Source organism: Homo sapiens, chromosome 3 (assembly GCF_000001405.40).
Source record: "Homo sapiens chromosome 3, GRCh38.p14 Primary Assembly".
NCBI lineage: Eukaryota > Metazoa > Chordata > Mammalia > Primates > Hominidae > Homo > Homo sapiens.
In genome coordinates this window covers 136,515,712-136,539,106 of record NC_000003.12, presented here as the reverse complement: position 1 = coordinate 136,539,106, position 23,395 = coordinate 136,515,712, and the positions used below count along the sequence as shown (strand labels likewise).

Here is a 23,395-nt window from a genome sequence, read left to right as displayed (position 1 = left end):
GCTAGAGTGCAATGATGCAATCTCGGCTCACTGCAAGCTCGGCCTCCTGGGTTCACGCCATTCTCCTGCCTCAGCCTCCTGAGTAGCTGGGACTACAGGCGCCTGCCGCTACGCTGGGCTAATTTTTTGTATTTTTAGTAGAGACGGGGTTTCACCGTGTCAGCCAGGATGATCTTGATCTCCTGACCTCGTGATCCACCTGCCTCGGCCTCCCAAAGTGCTGGGATTACAGGCGTGAGCACCGCTCCCAGCCACTAAAACATTTTTTAAACTATAATCCTAATAGTGAAAACCTGTGATAAGCCTCCTCTCTCTTCACCATGCTCCTTTTCAGAGGGCCATAGTTTTTAACGTACGAGAGGAGTGCTTAAGAAGTAACTATGTGGTGGTCAGGCATGGTGGCTTACGCCTGTAATCCCAGCACTTTGGGAGACCAAGGTGGGTGGGTCACCCGAGGTCAGAAGTTCACAGAACAGCCAGGCCAATATGCTGAAACCCTGTCTCTACTAAAAATACAAAAATTTGCCAGGAGTGGTGGCACATGCCTGTAATTTCAATTACTGGAGTGGCTGACGCAGGAGAATCGCTTGAATCTGGGAGGTGGAGGTTGCAGTAAGCTGAGATCCCACCACTGCATTCCAGCCTGGGCAACAGAGTGAGATGCTCTCTCTCAAAAAAGAAAAAAAAAAAAAAGTAACTATATGGTGATTATTTGAGACCTTCTTAGTTCTGAACTACATCTATTTTCTAAATGTCTTATAAATAGTAAATACATGAAAAGATTTCTTCCTTCCACCCTTGGTAATCAAGACTGAGTGTATACCCTTGTTTGTTTATTGTATTAAAGTATACTTTGCAGCATATGCATATTTATTAATAGAATTAAATGTATATAGTATTGCGCTATCATTATTTGTGTAAAAGTAATTTTAATGGACAGATAAGACAATATTTCATACTATTCTGATCAAAATACTGTGATCACACAGTGGTTTTCAAATATCACAGGCTAATAACTCAAGACTCAGTATTTATTTAGACATGGTTCTAATGTTGGTAATGGGTGTATATCTTTATTTTTAATAGTCTTAATAATAATTTAAAGTTTTCAGGGTCATTTTCTTGTATCATTAGATTTTCATGGCTTTACTTTTATAGTGGACTAAGATGAATGCGTGCAAGGAGTGACAGTGCCACCACATTTCTTATTTCCTTATGATCACATGCTCAGGTTTTTGTTGTTTCAGTTTTCTTGAAAAATCTGTGCTTGGTGCCTTTCCATTTTGCCAGGAGTTAAAAATAGATACTATTGGCCAGGCGCAGTGACTCGTACCTATAATCCCAGCACTTTGAGAGTCTGAAGTGGGTGGATCATTTGAGGTCAGGAGTTTGAGACCAGCCTGGCCAACATGGTGAAACCCCATCTCTACTAAAAATAAAAAAATTAGCGTGGTGGTACATGCCTGTAATCCCAGCTAATGGGGAGGCTGAGGCAGGAGAATCACTTGAACCCAGGAGGCAGAGGTTGCAGTGAACCGAGATCACGCCACCACACTCCAGCCTGGGCAATGGAGTGAGACTTCACCTCAAAAAAAAAAAAACAAAAAAAAAATAAACAAAAAAAAGACACTATTAGGCTTAAAGTCATTGAAGTGGTCATATGTAACTTAAAATAACCTAAGAAACCAGTGAGGAATGCCATTTCTACTGTCAGCTCCTTTGAGTATTGAACTCTTTGCTACTCTGTTAAATTTGTTTTGTGACACAAAGCAGTCTGAAATATGGACCAAGTGAGGGCATACCAGGCTTATTCTGTATATTAAATATTAGCAGCAATTAATTTCTTTCTTTTTGTAGATAAAAATAAATAGAAATAGAAGTTCTAATATTTTCTTACAATACACCACTCCATTTGTGTTGCATACATCACTGTGGAAACTGCTCCAAGATGAGAAAGGTAAACAGAAAATGTTAAAGAAAATAGAATTAGAAATGACAAGTGCCAAAAGACAAATGAATAATTAAAAAATTGGGATGACTCCAGAAATTGTAATGAATTTGTAATATGCAAAAATGTAACAAAGAAAATATACAATGACTGAACCCTGCAGTTCGATCTATTGGGGACAAGAGCAAATGTTGAATAGTAATAATAATAGCTAATAATTATGCTTAATGGATGCAAGCACTGTTAAGTGCTTTACATATACTTAATTCTCACAATATTTTTGTGAGGTAGGTAGTTTATAATATTGTTATCCCTATATGACAGATGAGAAAATTGGGGCACAAAAGGGTTAAGAAACTTGCCTGAGGTCACACAACTGGTAAATGGCAAGCCAGGAGTTGAACCCAAACAATCTAGCTCCTACAGCCGTAGTTTTTTTTTTTTTTTTTTTTTTTGGAGACTGAGTCTTGCTCTGTCACCCCCAGGCTGGAGTGCAGTGGTGTGATCTTGGCTCACGGCAACTTCTGCCTCCCGAGTTGAAGCGATTCTCGTGCCTTAGCCTCCTGAGTAGCTGGGACTACAGGCGCACACCACCACGCCTGGCTTATTTTTGTATTTTTAGTAGAGACAAGGTTTCACCATATTGGACAGGCTGGTCTCGAACTCCTGGTCTCAGGTGAGCCACTGTGCCTGGCCCTAAGTCCATAGTCTTAACTACTGTCCTATTCTGTGTTTTATATAGTCAGAAGTTTATGATACTGAAATGTCTGGGAAAAGATTACTCAGTAACAGTTACACTTTTTCAGTTTGGACAACCCTGGTCATATAATTTGTTTCTGGCTATTTTTATTATCGATTTCTTACTGCTGATCCAGTAAGTTATAGAATTGTACTAGTAGTTTTTTAATGGGCCTGTTATATTCTCTTAATCTGGGATAATCTTTTTAGATTGAGTCAGACCTCTCCATTACATTATCTGAGACATCACTCATTATGAGAGATGCTTAAATGAGATACTCATGAAGCCAAAGTATATTCCAACAATAACATTTATGTCAGTGGTTACTAGATGAAATACTATCTGGATTAGTCATGATAAAGTATTTATTGAGGATATACTTACATGCTGGTAATTTGAAAATTTTTATCTTTCCGTTTTAAAACTCGTACAAAATTGGATTTTACAGTGATTCACATAAATCACATTTATATTTGTTAATTATTATTAAGATGTATTAGATTTTTCAGCTAAAGCCAGATAGTAGGAATTCGGTTTTTTATTTATTAGAGGTATCACTTTTTGCTTTTATGGATACATAGTAGTTCACATTTTTATGGGGTACATGTGAATATTTTTACATGCATAGAATGTGTAATGATCAAGTCAGGGTATTTGGGGTATCTCTTACCTTGAGTATTTATCATTTCTGTGTGTTGGTACCATTTCAAGTCCTCTCCTAGCTTTTGTTTTGTTTGTTTACTTGTTTGTTTGTTTTGAGACAGAGTCTCACTTTGTTGCCTAGGCTGGAGTGCAGTGGCACGATCTCAGCTCACTGCAACCTCCACCTCCCAAGTTCAAGTGATTCTCTTGCTTCAGCCACCCAAGTAGCTGGGATTACAGGCTTGTGCCACTGTGCCTAGCTAATTTTTGTATTTTTAGTAGAGACAAAGTTTCGCCATGTTGGCCAGGCTGGTCTTGAACTCCTGTCCTCAAGTGATCCACCTGCCTTGGCCTTCCTGTGTGCTGGGATCACAGGCATGAGCCACCGCACCCAGCTCTCTCCTAGCTATTTTGAAATATATAATATATTGATGTTAACTGTAGTCACCCAAGCCTGCTATCGAACATTAGAACTTATTTCTTCTATCTAACTGTAAGTTTATAACTATTTACCCAACCTCTCTGTTTCCTCCTCACACGCTTTTCTCCCTCTGGCATCTATCATTCTATTCCCTATCACCATGAGATCAGGTTTTTTAGCTCACAGATAAGAGTGAGAAAATGTATTTGTTTTTCTGTTCCTGAGTTATTACACTTAATATAAGGATGTCCAGTTCTATTCATGCTGTTGCAAATGACTTTAATTTTTTATAACCAAATAGTATCCTGTTATATGTATATGCTGCATTTTCTTTATCCATTCATCTATTGATGGACACTTAGATTGATTCCATATCTTTGCAATTGTGAATAGTGCTGTGATAAACATGCAAGTGTGGGTATCCCTTTGATATACTGATTTCTTTTCCTTTGGATAAATACGTAGTAGTGGGATTGCTGGATCATATGGTAGTTCTATTTTTAGTTTTTTGAAAAATCTCCACACTGTTTTCCATGGTGGTTGTACTAATTTACATTCCCACCAACAGTGTATAGAAGTTCTCTTTTCTCCAGATCCTCACCAGTATCTGTTGTTTTTCTTCTCTTTAATAATAGCCATTCCAACTGGGGTGAATGATATCTCATTGCCCATTTAATTTGTATTTTCTGGATGATTATGGATGTTGAGCACTTTTTCATATACCTGTTGGCCATTTAAGTTTTCTTTTGAGAATTGACTATTCATGTGCTTTGCTCACTTTTTAATGCGATTATGTTTTTTTTTCATTGTTGAGTTGTTTATTTTCAGTATTAGTCTTCTGTTGGATGAATAGTTTGCAAATATTTTCTCTCATTCAAGAGGTTGTCTCTTCACTCTGTTGTTTTCTTTGCTTGCTGTGCTTTTTTATTTTTAGTTTAATGTATCTTGTTTGCCTTTTTTATTTGTTTGTTTTTGTTGTCTGTGCTTTTGATGTCTTGGCTATAAATTATTTGCCTAGACCAGTGTCCTGAATTGTTTTTCCTGTGTTTTCTTCTACTAGTTTTATAGGTTCAGGTCTTACAGTTAAGTCTTTATCTTGAGTTGATTTTTATATAACGTGAGAGATAGGGGTTCAGATTCATTCTTCTGCATATGGATATCCAGTTTTTCCAGTATCATTTAGTGAAGGGAGGTGTCCATCCCGCAGTGTATATTCTTGACACCTTTGTCAAACATCAGTTGGCTGTAAATATGTGGATTTATTTCTGGGTTATCTATTCTGTTCAATTGGTATGTGTGGTTATTTTTATACCAATACTTTGTTCTGTTGGCGAATATAGCCTTGTAATATAATTTGAAGTCAGGCTGTAATGCCTTCAGCTTTGTTTTTGTTTTGTTTCGTTCATTTGTTTGTTTGTTTTGCTTAACTTTGCTTTGGCTATTCCAGTTCTCTTTTGGTTCCATGCACACTTTAGGATTGTTTTTTCTGTTGCTGTGAGAACTGACATTGATATTTTGATAGGGATTACATTGAATTTGTATATTGCTTTTGACAGTATGGTCATTGATATGGTTTGGATGTTTGTCCCCTTTAAATCTCATGTTGAAATGTAATCCCCAGTGTCGGAAGTGGGGCCTGGTGGGAAGTGTTTGGGTCATGGGGACAGATACCTCGTGAGTGGCTTGGTATCCTCCTTGCAGTAACAAGTGAATTCTCACTTTGAATTCACAAGATATCTGGTTATTTTTTAAAGTATGGCATCCCTGCCCCCTTGCTCCTTCTCTCACCATGTGATTCACTGGCTCACCTTCACGTTCTGCTGTGATTATAAGCATCCTTGAGGACCTCACCATAAGACGAGCAGACTCCAGTACTATGCTTCATATACAGCTTCCAGAACCTGAGCCAGTAAACCTCTTTTCTTTATAAATTACCCAGTCTTGGGTATTTCTTTATAGTAATGCAAAAAATAAAAATAAAAAAAAGGCGACACAGTCATTTTACCAACCTTTTTTTAAAGAAAAAATTCAGTGGTTACCAACATTTTACCAATATTCTTGGGATTCATGAGCATGAGTTGTCTTTCCATTCGTTTGTGTCCTCTTCAGTTTCTTTCATCAGTCTTTTGTAGTTTTCCTTATAGAGATCCTTCACTTTAGTTAGCTTTATTTCTAGATCTTTTATTTTTTCTAGCTGTTGTAAATGGGATTGCCATCTTGATTTTTTTACAGCTGTTTTATTAATGGTATATAGAAACCAATTTTTATATGTTGAAAAAATGTAAAGCGCTTTACTGAATTTGCTATCAGCTCTAAGAATTTTTTGGTAGAGGCTTTGGGTTCTTCTAAATAAAAGATCATGTCATCTGCTGAGAGGGACAGTTTGACTTCCTCTTTTCCAATTTGGATGTATTTTGTTTTTTCTCTTACCTGATTGGTCTGTCTAGGACTTCCAGTACCATGTTGAATAAGACTTGTAAAAGTGGGCATGTTTGTTTTGTTTCAGTTCTTGAAGGAAAAGGTTTGAACTTTTCCCCATTCAGTATGATGTTACCTGTGAGTTTGTCATGTATGAACTTTGTTATTTTGAGGTATATTCCTTTTTTGCCTAGTTTATTGAGAATTTTTATCATGAAGCGTTGTTGGATTTTACCAAATGCTTTTTCTGCATCTATTGAGATGATCATAGGGTTTTTGTCCTTCAGTCTGTTGATGTTATGTATCACATTTGTTGATTTGCATACGTTAAACCATCCTTGAATGCCTTATGTAAATTTTGCTTGATCATGGTGTATTAGTGAGTTTGTAGTGAGATTAAATCAGTAATAAAAAGTCTCCCACCCAAGAAAAGCCCAGGCCCAGAAGGATTCACAGCTGAATTCTACCAAAGATAGAAGAAATAACACCAGTCCTCCTCAAACTATTCCAAAAAACTTAAAGGGAGAGAATTCTCAGTAACTCATTCTAGAAGGCCAGCATTACCCTGTTAGCAAAACCAGATAAGGCCACAGCAAAAACAACAACAACATAAAGGAACCTACAGGCCAACATCCCTGATGAAGTTAGATACAAAAATTCTAGCAAACCAAAGTCAACAGACATCAAAAAGGTAATATACCATGATCAAGCAATTTGTTAGTGTATAGTTGTTCATAATAGTCTCTGATGATCTTTTGTATTTCTGTGTTATCAGTTGTAATGTCTCATTTTTCATTTCTAATTTTTTTTATTTGGGTCTTTGTTAATCTAGCTAGTGGTTTATCAGTTTTATCTTTTCATTTTATTGATCCGTTGTATTTTTTTTAGTTTTAATTTATTTTTGGTCTGATCTGTATTATTTCTTTTCTGCTGTTAATTTTGCATTTGGTTTGTTCTTCCTACTCTAGTTCCTGAGGTGCATCATTAAATTGTTACTTTGAAACCTTACTACTCTTTTTTTTTTTTTTTTTATACTTTAAGTTTTAGGGTACATGTGCACAATGTGCAGGTTAGTTACATATGTATACATGTGCCATGCTGGTGCGCTGCACCCACTAACTCATCATCTAGCATTAGGTATATCTCCCGATGCTATCCCTCCCCCCTCCCCGCACCCCACAACAGTCCCCAGAGTGTGATATTCCCCTTCCTGTGTCCATGTGATCTCATTGTTCAATTCCCACCTATGAGTGAGAATATGCGGTGTTTGGTTTTTTGTTCTTGCGATAGTTTACTGAGAATGATGATTTCCAATTTCATCCATGTCCCTACAAAGGACATGAACTCATCATTTTTATGGCTGCAATAGTATTCCATGGTGTATATGTGCCACATTTTCTTAATCCAGTCTATCATCGTTGGACATTTGGGTTGGTTCCAAGTCTTTGCTATTGTGAATAATGCCGCAATAAACAGACGTGTGCATGTGTCTTTATAGCAGCATGATTTATAGTCCTTTGGTTATATACCCAGTAATGGGATGGCTGGGTCAAATGGTATTTCCAGTTCTAGATCCCTGAGGAATCGCCACACTGACTTCCACAATGGTTGAACTAGTTTACAGTCCCACCAACAGTGTAAAAGTGTTCCTATTTCTCCACATCCTCTCCAGCACCTGTTGTTTCCTGACTTTTTAATGATTGCCATTCTAACTGGTGTGAGATGGTATCTCATTGTGGTTTTGATTTGCATTTCTCTGATGGCCAGTGATGATGAGCATTTTTTCATGTGTTTTTTGGCTGCATAAATGTCTTCTTTTGAGAAGTGTCTGTTCAAGACAGAGTTTCGCTCTTGTTGCCCAGGCTAGAGTGCAGTGCGTGATCTCGGCTCACTGCAACCTCTGCCTCCTGGGTTCAGGTGATTCTCCTGCCTCTGCCAACCGAGTATCTGGGATTACAGGCGCCCATGACCACACCCAGCTAATTTTTGTATTTTTAGTAGAGACGGAGTTTACCATGTTGGCTAGGCTGATCTCGAACTCCTGACCTCAGGTGATCCACCAACTTCAGCCTCCCAAAGTGCTGAGATTACAGGTGTGCGCTGCTGTGCCTGGCCTGAAACCTTATTACTCTTTTGATGCAGGTGTTTATTTCTATAAACTTTCATCCTACTGCAGTTTTTGCTATATCCCACAGGTTTTGGTATGTTGTGTTTCCACTTTCATTTATTTCAAGGCATGTTTTGATTTACACCTTAATTTCTTCGTTGACTGGTTATTCAAGAGTGTGTTTTTTAATTTTCATGTATTTGTAAGGTTTTCAGAGTTTCTCTTTGTATTGATTTCTGGTTTTATTCCATTGTGGTCTGAGAAGATATTTCATATGATTTTGATTTTTAAAAATTTGACGAGACTTGTTTTGTGGCTTAACATATGGTCTATCCATGTGCTAATGAGAATAATGTATATTCTGTCTATGGCCATACCACCCTGAACGCACCCAATTTTGTCTGATCTCAGAGAATAATGTGTATTCTGCAGTTGTTGGATAAAATGTCCTATAAATGTCAAGTCTATTTGGTTTAAGATCTAGTTTAAATCCAGTGTTACTTTAATGAATTTCTGTCTAGATGATCGAATGCTGAGAGTGAGGTGTTGAAGTCTCTGTTATAGTCTGGGAGTCTATTTAGATTTAGTAATGTTTGCCTTATAAATCTGGATGCTCCACTGTTGGGTGCATATATACTAAAAATTATTAATTATTATTGTTGAATTAATCTCTTTATCATTATATAATGACCTTTGTCTTTATGACTGTTTTTGATGTACAGTTTGTTTCACTCATCATAAGTATAGCTGTTCTTGCTCACTTTTCATTTCTATTTGTGTGGAATATCTTTGTCCATCCCTTTAGTTTCAGTCTGTATGTGTCTTTACAGGTAAAGTGCATTACTTGTGGGCAGCATGTGGTTGGATCCTGTCTTTTATCTACTCATCTGGTCTTTGTCTTTTTAGTGGAATATTTAATCCGTTTACATTCAAAGTTAATATTACTATGTGACCCTTTGTTCCTGTCATAGTGTTAATTGTTTTCTGGTTGTTTTGTAATATTATTTGTTTCTTTCTTTTTCTCCTATTGTTTTTCTTTGTTGTTTGGTGATTTTCTGTAGCAGTGTCATTTGATTATTTTATCTTCCTCATATGTGTGTTTGCTTTACCAGTGAGACTTATACTTTTGTGTGTTTTCTTCATGGTAAACATTGTTCATTCACATCCAGTTTTAGGACTCTCTTGAGCATTTTTTTGTGTAGAACAGATCTGGTGGTGATGGATTTCCTTAGCTTTTGCTTGTTTGGGAAAAATGTTATTTCTCCATTTATTAAAGATAGTTTTGCTGAATATAGTGCTGTTGACTAGCAGGGTTTTTTGTTGTTGTTGTTGTTTTCTTTTAGCAGTGTGAATATGTCCTTCCATTCTCTCTGGTCCTATAAGGTTTCTGCTGAGAAATTTACTGGTAGTCTGATGAAGGTTTCTTTATATATGACTAGACACTTTTGCTGTTTTCAGAATTCTCTCTGTCTTTGACGTTAAAACAGTTTGACTATAACGTGCCATGAAGAAGACCTTTTTGGATCTTAGCCTCTTGTATCTAAATGTCTGTATCTCTTGCTAGACTTGGGAAGTTTCCATCTATTATTTTATTAAGTAGGTTTTAAAATGCTTTCATTCTGTCTTGGCCTTCTGGGACCCCAAATTGAACATTTGGGTGCTCTGTGGTATTTCATATATCACAAAGGCATAGTTCATTTTTCTTTATTTTTGTCTGGCTGAATTATTTCAGAAGACCTGTGTTCAGGCTCTGATACTCATTTTTCTGCTTGATCCAGTCTTTTGTTGAAGCTTGCAAATGTATTTTTTATTTTATTCAATGAATTATTCAGTTCCAAAATTTGTGGGGGTTTTTTGGTTTGTTTTCTGTTTTTTTTTGTTTTGTTTTGTTTTTTGCTTTTTCAGTCAGGGTCTTGCTTTGTCACACAGACTGGAGTGCAGTGGCATGATCTTGGCTCACTGCAACCTCTGCCTCCTGGGCTCAAGTGATTCTCCCACTTCAGCCTCCCAAATAGCTGGGAATACAGGCACATACCACCATGCCTGACTAATATTTTGTATTTTTGGTAGAGACGGGGTTTTGCCATGTCCTGAGCTCAAGGAATCCACTCACCTCAGCCTCCCGAGCTGGTGGGATGATACATGTGAGCCCCTGCGCCTGACTTGGTTCCTTTTAATGATATCTATTTCTTTGGTAAATTTTTGGTTTATATGCTGAATTGTTTTGCTGACTCCTCTGTATTGTTTTTCAGAATTCTGTTGTATCTCACTGAGCTTCTTTAGAATAAATAATTTGGATTCCTTTTCCAGGACTTAGTGATTTTTTGGGGGGGGGGGTGCGGGGACATCTGTTGCTGGGGAATTATTGTATTCCTTTGGAGATGTCAAGTTTCTTTGCTTTTTCATGTTTCCTGTTTCCTTAATTGATATCTGCACATCTCTTATAGCGCCTGGCTCAGAGGGTCCCATGCCCACGGAGCCTCACTCACTGCTAGCACAGCAGTAGATCAAACTGCAAGGCTGCAGTAAGGCTGGGGGAGGGTCGCCTGCCATTGCTGAGGCTTGAGTAGGTAAACATAGCAGCCAGGAAGTTCAAATTGGGTAGAGCCCACCACAGCTCAAGGAGGCCTGTCTGCCTCTGTAGACTCCACCCTGGGGCAGGGCATAGCTGAACAAAACGCAGCAGAAACTTCTGCGGACTTAAATGTCCCCGTCTGACAGCTTTGAGGAGATTAGTGGTTCTCCCAGCACGGAGTTTGAGATCTGAGAACAGACAGACTGCCTCCTCAGGTGGGTCCCTGACCCCCAAGTAGCCTAACTGGGAGGCATCCCCAAATAGGGGCAGACTGACACATCATACGGCCGGATAACCCTCTGAGATGAAGCTTCCCGAGGAACAATCAGGTGGCAACATTTGCTGTTCAGCAATATTCACTGTTCTGCAGCATCCGCTGCTGATACCCAGGAAAACAGGGTCTGGAGTGGCCCTCCAGCAAACTCCAACAGACCTGCAGCTGAGGGTCTTGACTGTAAGAAGGAAAACTAACAAACAGAAAGGACATCCACACCAAAACCCCATGTGTATGTCAACATCATCAAAGACCAAAGGTAGATGAAACCACAAAGATGGGGAAAAAACAGAGCAGAAAAGCTGAAAATTCTAAAAATCAGATTGCCTCTCCCCCTCCAAAGGAACACAGCTCCTCGTCAGTAACGGAACAAAGCGGGAGGGAGAATGACAAGTTGAGAGAAGGAGGCTTCAGAGGATCAAACTTTTCTGAGCTAAAGGAGGAAGTTGGAACCCATCACAAAGAAGCTGAAAACCAAAAAAAGACTGGACGAATGGCTAACTAGAATAACCAGTGTAGAGAAGTCCTTAAATGGTGTGATGGAGCTGAAAACCATGGCACTAGAACTACGTGACAAATGCACAAGCTTCAGTAGCTGATTCGATCAACTGGAAGAAAGGGTATCGGTGATTGAAGATCAAATGAATGAAATGAAGCGAGAAAGGAAGTTTGGAGAAAAAAGAGTAAAAAGAAACAAACAAAGCCTCCAAGAAATATGGGACTATGGTGAAAGACCAAATCTACATCTGATTGGTGTACCTGAAAGTGACAGGGAGAATGGAAACAAGTTGGAAAACACTCTGCAGGATATTATCCAGGAGAACTTCCCCAACCTAGCAAGGCAGGCCAACATTCAAATTCAGGAAATACAGAGAATGTCATGAAGATACTCCTTGAGAAGAGCAACTCCAAGACACATAATTGTCAGATTCACCGAAGTTGAAATGAAGGAAAAAATGTTAAGGGCAGCCAGAGTGAAAGGTCGGGTTACCCACAAAGGGAAGCCCATCAGACTAACAGTGGATTTCTCAGCAGAAACTGTACAAGCCAGAAGAGAGTGGGAGCCAACATTCAACATTCTTAAAGAAAAGAATTTTCAACCCAGAATTTCATATCCAGCCAAACTAAGCTTCATGAGTGAAGGAGAAATAAAATCCTTTAGAGACAAACAAATGCTAAGAGATTTTGTCACCACCAAGCCTGCCCTACAAGAGCTCCTGAAGGAAGCACTAAACATGGAAAGGAACAACCAGTACCAGCCACTGCAAAAACATGCCAAATTGTAAAGACCATGGATGCTAGGAAGAAACTGCATCAACTAATGAACAAAATAACCAGGTAACATAATGACAGGATCAAATTCACACATAACAATATTAACCTTAAATGTAAATGGACTAAATGCTCCAATTAAAAGACACAGACTGGCAAATTGGATAAAGAGTCAAGACCCATCAGTGTGCTGTATTCAGGAGACCCATCTCAAGTGCAGAGACACACGTAGGCTCAAAATAAAGGGATGGAGGAAGATCTACCAAGCAAATGGAAAACAAAAAAAGGCAGGGGTTGCAATCCTAGTCTCTGATAAAACAGACTTTAAACCAACAAAGATAGAAAGAGACAAAGAAGGCCATAACATAATGGTAAAGGGATCAAGTCAACAAGAAGAGCTAACTATCCTAAATATATATTCACCCAATACAGGAGCACCCAGATTCATAAGGAAAGTCCTTAGAGACCTACAAGAGATTTAGACTCCCACACAATAATTATGAGAGGCTTTAACACCCCACTGTCAACATTAGACAGATCGATGAGACAGAAAGTTAAAAAGGATATCCAGGAATTGAACTCAGCTCTGCACCAAGCAGAATTAATAGACATCTACAGAACTCTCCACCCCAAATTAACAGAATATACATTCTTCTCAGCACCACGTCATACTTATTCCAAAATTGACCACATAGTTGGAAGTAAAGCACTCCTCAGCAAATGTAAAAGAACAGAAATTATAACAAACTGTCTCTCAGACCACAGTGCAATCAAACTAGAACTCAGGATTAAGAAACTCACTCAAAACTGCTCAACTACATGGAAACTAAACAACCTGCTCCTGAATGACTAATGGATACATAACGAAATGAAGGCAGAAATAAAGATGTTGTTTGAAACCAGTGAGAACAAAGGCACAACATACCAGAATCTCTGGGACACATTTAAAGCAGTGTGTAGAGGGAAATTTATAGCACTAAATGCCCACAAGAGAAAGCAGGAAAGATCTAAAATTGACACCCTAACATCACAATTGAAAGAACCAGAGAAGCAAGAGCAAACACGTTCAAAAGCTAGCAGAAAGCAAGAAATAACTAAGATCAGAGCAGAACTGAAGGAGATAGAGACAGAAAAAACCCTTCAAAAAATTAATGAATCTAGGAGCTGGTTTTTTGAAAAGATCAACAACATTGATAGACCACTGGCAAGGCTAATAAAGAAGAAAAGAGAGAAGACTCAAATAGACGCAATAAAAAATGATAAAGGGGATATCACCACCGATCCCACAGAAATACAAACTACCGTCAGAGAAAACTATAAACACCTCTACGCAAATAAACTAGAAAATCTAGAAGAAATGGATAAATTCCTGGACACATACACCCTCCCAAGACTAAACCAGGAAGAAGTTGAATCCCTGAATAGACCAATAACAGGTTCTGAAATTGAGACACTAATTAATAGCCTACCAACCAAAAAAAGTCCAGGACGAGATGGATTCACAGCCAAATTCCACCAGAGGTACAAAGAGGAGCTGGTACCATTCCTTCTGAAACTATTCCAATCAACCGAAAAAGAGGGAATCCTCTCTAACTCATTTTATAAGGCCAGCATCATCTTGATACCAAAGCCTGGCAGAGACATAACAAAAAAAGAGAACTTTAGATCAATACCCCTGATGAACATCGATGCAAAAGTCCTCAATAAAATACCGGCAAACTGAATCTGGCAGCACATCAAAAAGTTCATCCACCATGATCAAGTGGGCTTCATCCCTGGGATGCAAGGCTGGTTCACCATACACAAATCAATAAACGTAATCCAGCACATGAACAGAACCAAAGACAAAAACCACATGATTATCTCAATAGATGCTGAAAAGGCCTTTGACAAAATTCAACAGCCTTCATGCTAAAAACTCTCAATAAATTAGGTATTGATGGGACGTATCTCAAAATAATAAGAGCTATCTATGACAAACCCACAGCCAGTATCATACTGAATGGGCAAAAACTGAAAGCATTCCCTTTGAAAACTGGCACAAGACAGGGATGCCCTCTCTCACCACTCCTATTCAACATAGTGTTGGAAGTTCTGGCCAGGGCAGTCAGGCAGGAGAAAGAAATAAAGGGTATTCAATTAGGAGAAGAGGAAGTCAAATTGTCCCTGTTTGCAGATGACAGGATTGTATATTTAGAAAACCCCATTGTCTCAGCCCAAAATCTCCTTAAGCTGATAAGCAACTTCAGCAAAGTCTCAGGATACAAAATCAATGTGGAAAAATCACAAGCATTCTTATACACCAGTAACAGACAAACAGAGAGCCAAATCATGAGTGAACTCCCATTCACAATTGCTTCAAAGAGAATAAAATACCTAGGAATCCAACCTACAAGGGATGTGAAGGACCTCTTCAAGGAGAACTACAAACCACTGCTCAATGAAATAAAAGACGACACAAACAAATGGAAGAACATTCCATGCTCATGGATAGGAATAATCAATATCGTGAAAATGGCCATACTGCCCAAGGTAATTTATAGATTGAATGCCATCCCCATCAAGCTACCAATGACTTTCTTCAGATAAGTGGAAAAAACTACTTTAAAGTTCATATGGGACCAAAAAAGAGCCCGCATTGCCAAGACAATCCTAAGCCAAAAGAACAAAGCTGGAGGCATCATGCTACCTGACTTCAAACTATACTACAAGGCTACAGTAACCAAAACAGCATGGCACTGGTACCAAAACAGAGATGTAGACCTATGGAACAGAGCAGAGCCCTCAGAAATAATATCACACGTCTACAACTATCTGATCTTTGACAAACCTGAGAAAAACAAGCAATGGGGAAAGGATTCCCTATTTAATGAATGGTGCTGGGAAAACTGGCTAGCCACATGTAGAAAGCTGAAATTGGATCCCTTCCTTATACTTTATACAAAAATTAATTCAAGATGAATTAAAGACTTACATGTTAGACCTAAAACCATAAAAACTCTAGAAGAAAACCTAGGCAATACCACTCAGGACATAGGCATGGGCAAGGACTTCACGTCTAAAACACCAAAAGAAATGGCAACAAAAGCCAAAACTGACAAATGGGATCTAATTAAACTAAAGAGCTTCTGCACAGCAAAAGAAACTACCATCAGAGTGAACAGGTAACCTACAGAATGGGAGAAGATTTTTGCAACCTACAGAATGGGAGAAGATTTTTGCAATCTACTCATCTGACAAAAGGCTAATATCCAGAATCTACAAAGAATTCAAACAAATTTACAAGAAAGAAAACAACCCCATCAACAAGTGGGCTAAGGATATGAACAGACACTTCTCAAAAGAAGACATTTATGCAGCCAACAGACACGTGAAAAAATGCTCATTATCTCTGGCCGTCAGAGAAATGCAAATCAAAACCACAGTGAGATACCATCTCACACCAGTTAGAATGGCAATCATTAAAAAGCCGGGAAATGACAGGTACTGAAGAGGATGGGGAGAAATAGGAACACTTTTACACTGTTGTTGGGACTGTAAACTAGTTCAACCATTGTGGAAGACAGTGTGGCGATTCCTCAAGGATCTAGAACTAGAAATATCATTTGAGCCAGCCATCCCCTTACTGGGTATCTATCCAAAGGATTATAAATCATGCTGCTATAAAGACCTATGCACACGTATGTTTATTGCGGCACTATTCACAATAGCAAAGACTTAGAACCAACCCACATGTCCATCAATGATAGACTGGATTAAGAAAATATGGCACATATACACTGTGGAATAATATGCAGCCATAAAAAATGATGAGTTCATGTCCTTTGTAGGGACATGGATGAAGCTGGAAACCATCATTCTCAGGAAACTATCACAAGGACAAAAAACCAAACACTGCATGTTCTCACTCATAGGTGGGAGTTGAACAGTGAGAACACTTGGACACAGGAAGGGAACGTCACACGCTGGGACCTGCCGTGGGGTGGGGGGAGGGGGGAGGAATAGCATTAGGAGATATACCTCATGTAAATGATGAGTTAATGGGTGCAGCACACCAACATGACACATGTATACATATGTAACAAACCTGCACGTTGTGCACATGTACCCTAGAACTAAAAGTAGAGTGAAAAATAATTATAATTAAAAACAAAAAAGAACAGCAAAAAAAGAAAAAAACAAGAGGAACTCTACTATAGTGGGGTTTTGTGATATAGAAGCAGCAGGTAGGCTGCTGAGATACCTTTAGGAAGCATCTTTTCTTTCTAGTCTATGTAACTTCTCCAATCTACACTCACACTCCCCGTCATGTAGTGCTCCCTACCACTCATCTAACACCAACATTAACTAACTTTTGGGATTTTGACTCTGAGTCCGTTCTCCTGTAGTGTCTGCTTTTTGTTACCTGTTCTTGGGATCTGGTGTTCTGTATATCACACTAGTTCTCTTTCCTATGACTCCAGTAGAGCTCAAGGCCTCATTTATAAAGAAATTTGCCTAGCAGCACTTTGTTCTAGAAAGGACAAAAAGCTACACATTGAGAATATTCAGGCAACCTTGTTCACAGAATTCCTCATTCCCTACCTTGTTAATTTCCATTTCTGTACTTAAGTGTCTTACACTAGACAGAGAAACCTCTAACCAATTGGGTTGTACTCTACGTTTTGTGTTTTAAAACAAGATGACACAACCTGGTGATATCAAGAACTCAGATTGTTTTCTTAGAAAACTTAATCAGTCCAGTGTATGAAGTGGTATTAAAATGAAGTTCATAGTAAAATTTGAGGAAATTTGGTTGGAATTTAGGATGTGTAAGATTATTTTTGCACTTCCCAATGAAATGCTTATACTTTTGAAATTCTCACTTCTTAAAAATTCAATTTAAAATATTGAAAGATGTGGTATGACACAGGTATCATGATAGCTTTCATCAAAATTCAACTGGCAATCATCCTTTCTAGTCTAAACTTTAAAAAATTTTTTTTACTGTTTCAGATTACCTCAACTATGATCCAAATACAACAAAGTGGAACTATTATTTTCAACCAAAGACTTAGAACAATAAAGTAGATGCTGGTTCTAAAATAGTAATTTTGAGTATTTTAAGAATTACTTAGTTGTGGCAGATCAAAATCAAAGAGAAATAAAGCAATCAAATGTGCTATGAAAGTCACCTATTTCTTTCTATAACTGCTTTGCAAAAAAGGGTTCCTATGTAGGTAGGAAGAAAAAAAAAGCTTTCATCAAACTCTGTAATGTGACATACTTAATATGTTCTTTTTCTGTTTTTTAGGACAGTGGTGATTATCCTCTTACCATGCCTGGACCTCAGTGGAAAAAATTTCGTTCAAACTTTTGTGAATTTATTGGAGTCCTGATTCGACAGTGTCAGTATAGCATAATTTATGATGAGTATATGATGGACACAGTAATCTCCCTTTTGACGGGTTTGTCAGACTCCCAGGTCAGAGCTTTTAGGCATACAAGTACCCTGGCTGGTAAGTAATTAACATTTTATTTCCTTTTCATTTAGTTTTGTTGACTATGTTTTATTCTGATTACAAACTTAATGAGAAGATTTAATTAAAAATTTAATTAGAATAAAACAGTCATTTGAATAGTTTTTGTTAAAATTTATGCCTGTTTTCATAACTGGCATTTGATAGCCTTAAGAATGAAAATTGAAATTTTCTGGCCAGTGTCATCAAATGTCTGTCTGAATGTTTAGTTACTAATGTACATCCTTATTTATAACTGAAGAAATTTTAAGAGACCACTAGGCCAAATTCTTTGGAAAACCCAAGTAATAATAGTTGAAATTCCAAATTTATTGTATTTTTTCATCGCATAATTACATTGTTTTATTGCTCATTATTATTATAGATAAGTGGGTAAATACTTGTTTATATACTTGAAACAATTCTGTCCATTAGGGTAACAAACATTCTTCCTATTCCTAGTGCTATAATAACTTAAACATACTCAAATATTAACATCTTTAAAGTCAGTTCTTAAGGTAGGCTGTAGATAATTTGAAGAACTAACAGATTAGTTTTCACTTTTGCTTTCTTTTAGAATTATCATGACAACTTGTCAACCAACTATATTCATTTTTTTTCTTGGTTTTCAGTAACGAGGTAATTTTCTTATTTTAGCAATTGTTCTATTTTTCCGTCACTGCTTTAACTGTGCCTACCTAAAATGACTATTTTTTTCATTCATAATGGAGTGTGTGTATACTTGTTGAGTGTTCATAAGTGTATGTTTAAATACTCCCAAATTACATCTTTTTTAGTAGCAGTAACTTTGCCTATATTCATCTTACTTATTATCATAATAAACCAGATTTAGACTCATTAGTTACATTTCATTTTGCATTTAAATTTTAATTTCTCATTTATCTAATTTATTTAAAGCACTGTTCCTCAGACTTTAGCACACACCAGAATCACCTACAGAGCTTGTTCAAACAGATGGCTGGGCAAGAAGTTCCTAGGCAATGTTGATGCTGGTGATTTGGGAACTACACATTGCAAATATCTGCTTTAAAATTTTGTTATTTTTTGGCTTAACCTGTTGCCCAAAGCCAATAAGATAATAACTGGAGTTGTGTATATGTTTTTACATTCTTTTTTTCCCAATTCTCATTTTTCCCTTACTCAGTTAATTCATATTAATTCATATTAGTGTCTGTTATTCTGTTAGTTACAGTCCTAACCAAGTAAACATGAAGCACAGTTTGTTTTTTCTGAGAGTGTTCTTTTCTCATTATTAGGAAGAGAGGGAGATATTTTACCCAATTTTATCTTTTTTCAAAAGATTAAAAATATAATTTGTTGAAAAATACCTATGTAGAACATACATCAGACACAGTTCATACTGTGTTTTGAGAGTATCTTCTTCCTCATTATCAGGAAGAAAAAGATTTTTTACCCTGTTTATCTTTTTTAAAAAGTTACTGTAAAAATACTGTTTATTATTCAAACAGTTATATAATGTTAGACTTTTTTTTTCTAATTCGCCAACCTTTCGTAGTATCCTCTGCATTTGGTCGTTGCTTTTTTTCTTTTCTTTATACTTTCTGTTCCTTTTCGTCTTACTTCTTTCTGTGTACAGTAATGCCCATTTACTTGATTGTCACATGCATAGGAAATTCAGCAATTTGGAAAAAAAAACCTTGAAAATAAAGTAGAAATTGCTTGTAAATAACCAACTTTGCTGTCATAAGAATTAACGAATTTACTTTTATGCAGAAGTTATTATCTGGGTTTCCCAAGGCCAAGAGAGAAGGAGAAGCAATAAGTTAATTGAGGGCTGATAGTATTGTGAAATGACCATTTAAAAGAAGAAGACACAAAAATTAGTTTACAGTTCTCAAGATAGAGCACAACCTTTGGCTTCTCTGTAGGGGCAAGCTACTTTTCTTTAATCTAGAAACTTGTGTGCATTCTGTTTAAAAGGTTAATTGTATGCCATTTACTCTAAGAACATAAGAGGAGTGCTATATTATAGAAATACGCAGAATATTTTGACTCTTAAAACATTGTTTTATTTTGTGAACAATGCACTTTAACTCATTTGCATTTGTCCTTCACTGCCATGTAAATGCAGTATTACTGTATTTTACTGCCTTTTTGATGCCATTTCAGCTCTCCTTTTCATTTGCTCATTTTTAGTAACTTTCATTGTATTGTTTTCTCTATACTTATCCCTTTGGTTATCTCCATCTGCTAATCTTGTGTATGTTTAAATATATTTTCATTATTCCTTTTGAATTGAGTGTCTCCTGCCTCCCCCCATTGCCTTTCTGTGTCTCTTTTCCACGGTCTACCTGCGTTCATCATAACCTTTAAAACTACTTGATGAATGTGATTTTGTTTTCACCTGTGTTCTTTTTATATTAGTATCATCATGTAGCCTATTTAAATTCGAAATTATTTTTCAAAATCAGATATCAAAAAAACAAATTAACAACATACGTTTATACGGAATTTTCAAAGGATAAAACTTTTCAGTTGTTCTCTCAATTTACTTTAACGTATTACTGTAATTCCCATGTGTCTACACTAATTAATGGTTATATCTTCCAAGGCTCACTTGTATAAAATGTGAGACATAGCAGTCACCTACCCTTCAACAAAGCACAGAGGGCTTGCTGAGAACTTAATTCCAGGCTGGACAACAATTATCCCTCTTTTCAAGGACATTTTGTTCTCATCTTTGCCCTCTTCTTATTTTTAATGGTATATGTACGAGGAATAGATTAAAAGATAATCATTTTTATTCACTTTGCAGGACAAGTCTTGGGGACTAGATAAAATGGGCAGGAACATTTAATCCTCTGCTTCAAAGACTATGTGCATGGACAGTTACAAGGCAGTTATGGCCAGATATGATTATCGGCTTTGGAATAAAATGCTCCTTGACATTGCTTAAATCTTAGCTGAGAAGAGAGACAATCAGGTTAGTTATTTTGTAGGGTACAGATGTGATGAGTTCCAGAGCTTCATAAGTCATCAGAGTGGTCTTATCAGTAGTATTTTTAATCTGTTTTCCAAATATCCCATTTTCCTGTTATGAATTCAATATGTGTCCCTGTTGTCAGTGTTTATGCATTGCATTTAATTGTATACTTTTACATTTTTATTAAAAGTTTTTTTTATCATTATATAGTTCTTTATGTCTGTTTATTCCACACTCATAAGTATATTCTTATTTTTCCATTGGAGGTAAACTCTCTTTTTAGAATATATTTTACCATTAAATTGAAAGAGACTGTTAACAATTAAATTTTATATTTTCTTTAATCCCTTCGTTGGAATTTTCAAACATACTGTCCTAGTTATTTGGCCCATTTTAATAAGCTTTACATTGTAGTTTTCATTAACTATTGATCTTCAGAGCTAAGTGCCCTTATTTTTATTTGAAATAGCTATCTCAGTGGGACATAGTAGTACAGTTTGTGGATTTAATTTATGTAAGAAACATTGTGTCATAATTATTTTGGTGGATTTACAATCTGAGACTGGGAACTTTTTTATTTTCAAATTTGATGACATTTTTATTTTTTGAGGGAATATTTTCCTTTTAAGTTCAAAAATAGGTAAGATTTTCTTTGTTTTACCACTTTCTTGTTTGGTATTATGAAGTTAAAATTTTACTCTCAAAGAATTGCTTTTCAGGATTATGTTTATTTTTAGACATTTGCTTTTAAAATGTATACCAATACTTTACAACTTGTTGACTTCAAATTTTTGTTAGAGGGCAACATTCAGGCTGAGTAATGTTGGTTAACGTTTTAATATTTTGTTATTTTCTCACCTACATAATTTTCTGTGATGTTATAAATATATTAATGCTGGCTGCCTCTGACTTCTAAAGTTCTAATTTGAACAAAAGGGAGTTAAAATACAAAATTTGTACTAATAATGACATGAAGATTGTTTCTATTCTCTTTTTTCCCTCCTAAAATGAATTTGGGAAAAAATTAGAAAATGTGGTCAAGATCATCACAAGGCCAGTCTTCATCAGTGCTTATCAATAAGTCACTCTCAGACTCCTGAGGGATAAACATTTCTTTATACCTTATGGTTGATTTTATATTCACATATGATTCATTATTGATTAACTTTTCTTATAGAATCAGCATCTCCAGACTTTTCCTCTGAGGAAGGAAATGACATATGAAATTGCTTTAATTTATGATCAGAGGCTGAAAATAATTTTGCCTCAGAAAATTGAAGTCTTTTTATTTGGCCTTCAGTTGCTGAAATCATGTAATACTGTGGTTGATAGAATGGGTTCTGGCGTGCCTGTCTGAATTCATATTCGTCTCTGTCTTTTACTAGTTGGATAACCTTGGACAAGTCCTTAACATAACTGGTCTTACTCTCTTTATTTGCAAAGTGGGAAAGAAAAGAGATTAGGAGTGCTTGGGACAATGCTTGGCATTTAGTAAGCTGCAGCTATTATTCTATTATTCTTTAATGAGAAAAACGGATAATAGTATTTGCCAATATTTCCCTTCCTTTATGGTTTTACTCAGAATTTATTGATTTGCTTGTTCTATTTTAATAAAAAGTAATAAGACATGACAGATGGGGAAATCATAAATAAACAAGTAGATAAACTTTCAAGAACCGCTGTTAAGAAAACGAACAGCATGCATTTTCTTTTCTTTTGCTTTTTTTTAATGTATGTTTATTTTCTGATTCTCACTCTGTTGCCCAGGCTGCAGTGCAGTGGCATGGTTTTGTTTCCTTGCAACCCCCGCTTCCCAGGCTCAAGCGATCCTTCCACCTCAGCATCCCGAGTAGCTGGGACCACAGGTGCATGCCACCACATCCGGCTAATTTTTTTGTAGTTTTTGTAGAGTTGGGATTTCGCCATGTTGCCCATGGCCTTGAACTCCTGAATTCAAGCAGTTTGCATACCATGGCCTCTAAAAGTGCTGGGATTACAACCACACCCAGCCTGCATTTTCATTTTACTTATCTTTTGGCTCTCAGGACCCATATTCTGTTTATTAAATTCAATAATTATTTTATAATTTTTAACCACACAGATTGTTTCTGGTTTCTATGGTTAAGATGTGAAAATTTTAGAGCAATCTGGTATTATCAAAGAATAGACCATGTAGTATAAATAATTGCTCTTCCTTTTTGTATTTACATTTTATTTTTTTATATTCATTTTTCAAAATTCTTCTAGAGTTTGACCTTTTCATTGCTTTGTACTTTTACTTTGTCTTACTTTACTTTTTCACCGTTGTGTTTTTCATCCCTCCTCCAGATATAAAATCTTTATTCAATTTTCTAGGGTTTGTATATAACAGACTTCTGATGTTCTCGTGGGATTAATGCCCAATAGTTGGTGAAATCTGCAAATACCACTATATCATGTAGTTTTACCCATAAAATAAAGTATAACTTTAAAATGTAATTACTTTTTTGAATCTGTATATTTAGGTCTATAATAACTTGAAATTTTCTAACTTTTT

The 23,395-nt window shown here is 36.6% G+C and overlaps 1 protein-coding gene across 7 annotated transcripts in view; it reads left to right on the top strand.

Annotated features, from left to right (window-relative positions):
• STAG1 (STAG1 cohesin complex component) overlaps nt 1–23,395 on the top strand; it is a 416,143-nt gene that overhangs the window by 213,272 nt on the left and 179,476 nt on the right. For 6 of the 7 annotated variants that reach the window (XR_001739978.2, NM_005862.3, XM_047447229.1 and 3 more), the window contains one exon: nt 17,690–17,894. Coding sequence is in view for 5 of the 7 variants with exons in the window: in NM_005862.3 (NP_005853.2) it covers nt 17,690–17,894 (205 nt within the window). In the remaining 2 variants the exon portion in view is untranslated. Of the gene's footprint in view, nt 1–17,689; nt 17,895–20,716; nt 20,860–23,395 lie in introns of those variants that run through there. The other variant, XM_047447235.1, reaches the window with a different exon arrangement.